Consider the following 2,839-nt stretch of genomic DNA (forward strand, 5'->3'; position numbering starts at 1 on the left):
TGATGTTGGTCATGGTTTGTCATAGATGGCTCTTATCATTTTGAGGTATGTTCCTTCAATACCTAGTTTATTGAGAGTTTTAACATGAAGAGGTATTGAATTTTATTGAAAGTCTTTTCTGCATCTATTGAGAGAATCATGTGGTTTTTGTCTTTAGTTCTGTTTATGTAATGAGACAAATTTATTGATTTGCATATGTTGAATGAAGCTTGCACACCAGAGAAAAAGTCTACTTGGTTGTAGTGGATAAGCTTTTTGATGTGCTGCTGAATTAGGTTTGCTAGTATATTGCTGGGGATTTTCACATCAATAGTCATCATAGACATTGGCTTGACATTTTCTTTTTTCATTGTGTCTCTGCTACATTTTGGCATCAGGAAGATGCTGGCCTCATTGAACGAGTTAGGGAGGAGACCTTCCTCATTAATTCTTTGGAATAGTTTCAGTAGGAATGGTACCAGCTCTTCTTTGTACAACAGGTAGAATTCAGCTGTGTATCTGGCTTTTCCCGAGCTTTTGTTGGTTGGTAGGCTATTTATTACTACTCAATTTCAGAGATCATTATTTGTCTGTTCAGGAATTTAATTTCTCCTTGGTTGAGTCTTTGGAGGGTGTATATGTCAAGATATTTATGCATTTCTTCTAGATTTTCTAGTTTACATGCATATACATGTTGATAATATTCTCTGATGATTATTTGTATTTCTGTGGGGTCAATGGTAATATCTCCCTTGTTATTTCTGATTGTGTTTATTTGAACCTTCTCTCTTTTCTTCCATATTAGTCTAGCTAGTGGTCTATTTTATTATTATTTTTTAAAGTTTTGTTGATGTTTTGAATAGTTTTTCTTGTTTCAGTCTCCTTCAGTTTATCCCTAATTTTGTTTTTTTTTCTTATCTTCAGCTAGATTTGAGATTCTTTTAGTTGTGATATTAGGTTGTTAACTTAAGGTCTTTCTAACTTTTTGATGTAGGGATGTAGCACTATAATTTCCCACTTACACTCTCTTAGCTATGTCCCAGTTATTCTGGTATGTTTTATCTTTGTTCTCATTACTTACAAAGAACTTCTTCATTTCTGCCTTAATTTCATTATGTACCCAACAGGCATTCAGGAGCATATTATTTAATTTCCATGTAATTGTATTGTTTTGAGTGAATTTCTTAGTCTTGATTTTTAATTTGATTATGCTATGGTCTGAGAGACTTTGTAAATGATTTTAGTAGTTTGCATTTGCTCAGGAGTGTTTTATGTGCAATTATGTGATTGATTTTAGAGTCTGTACCATGTGACAATAAGAAAAACTTATAATCTATTGTTTTTGGGTGGAGAGTACTCCAGATGTGTATCAGGTCTATTTGATCTAGTGCTGAGTTCATGTCCTGAATATTTTTGTTAATTTTTTTGTCTGGATAATCTATCTAATAATGTCAGTACAGTGTTAAAGTCTCTTACTATTATTATGTGGGAGTATATGTCTCTTTGTCAATGGGGTTCTCTGCATTTCCTGAATTTGAATGTTGGCCTCTCTAGCAAGGTTGGAGAAATTATGTATAATGTCCTGAAATATTCTTTCCATGATTCGTTCCTGATATAGTTTGGTTGTGTCCCCACCCAAATCTCACCTTGAATTGTAATAATTCCCATGTGTCAAGGGTGGGGCCAGGTGGAGGAAATTGCATTAGGGGGGCAGTTTCCCTCCTATTGTTCTCATGGTAGTAAATAAGTCTCATAAGATCTGATGGTTTTATAAAAGGGAATTCCCCTGTACACCCTCTGTTGCCTGCCACCATTTAAGACAAGCTTTCGCTTCTCCTTTGCCTTCTGCCATGACTGTGAGGCCTCCCCAGCCATGTGGAACTGTGAGTCTATTTAGCCTCTTTTTCTCTATAAATTCCTCTGTCTGAAGTATGTCTTATACAGCATGAGAACTGACTAATACAGTAAATCGGTACTGGTAGAGTGGGGTGCTGCTGTAAAGATACCCAAAAATGTGGAAATGACTTTGGAACTGAGAAACAGGCAGAGGTTGGGTCAGTTTGGAGGGCTCAGAAGAGGACAGGAAGAAGTTTGAAGGGAAAGTTTGGATCTTCCTAGAGACTTGATGAATGGCTTTGACCAAAATGCTGACATTGATACATGGACAATAAAGTTCAGGTTGAGGTGGTCTCACATGGAGATGAAGACCTTGTTGGAAACTGGAATAAAAGTGACTCTTGCTATGTTTTAGCAAAGAGACTGGCATTTTGCCCCTGCCTTAGAGATTTGTGGAACTTTGAACTTGAGAGAAATGATTTAGGGTATCTGGTAGAAGAATTTTCTAAGCAGCAAAGCATTCAAGAGGTGACTTCGGTGCTGTTAAATGCATTGAGTTTTATGTATTCGCAGATTTATGCTTTGGAACTGAAACATGTTTAAAAGGGAAGCAGAGCACGAAAATTCAGAAAATGTACAGCCTGATGATGCAATAGAAAAGAAAAACCCGGTTGCTGAGGATAAATTCAAGCTGGCTTCAGAAGTTTGCATAAGTAATGAGAAGCCAAATGTTAATCACCAAGACAATAGGGAAAATGTCTCTAGGGCCTGCCAGAGGTCTTCCAGAAGCCCCTCCCATCACAGGCCTGGAGGCCTAGGAGAAAAAAGTGGTCTTGTGGGCTGGGCCCAGGACCTTGCTACATTGTGCATTCTCATGACTTGGTGCCCTGTGCCCTAGCCATGGCTAGAACTCAGGCCATTGATTCAGAAAGGGTGCATGACCCAAGCCTTGGTGGCCTTCATTTGGTATTGGGCTGTGGGCGCACAGAAGTCAAGAACTGAGATTTGGGAACCTCCACGTAGA

At 38.0% G+C, this 2,839-nt stretch overlaps 1 annotated feature.

Moving 5' to 3' along the window:
* Nucleotides 1,955-2,014: an enhancer, noted in NCBI's record as "active region_28246". NCBI's record gives its function as "activates an Ori minimal core promoter by ATAC-STARR-seq in GM12878 lymphoblastoid cells {active_cell/tissue: GM12878}" and the evidence as "EXISTENCE:reporter gene assay evidence [ECO:0000049][PMID:35858748]".

This window comes from Homo sapiens, chromosome 9, assembly GCF_000001405.40.
Source record: "Homo sapiens chromosome 9, GRCh38.p14 Primary Assembly".
NCBI classification, from domain to species: Eukaryota; Metazoa; Chordata; class Mammalia; order Primates; family Hominidae; genus Homo; species Homo sapiens.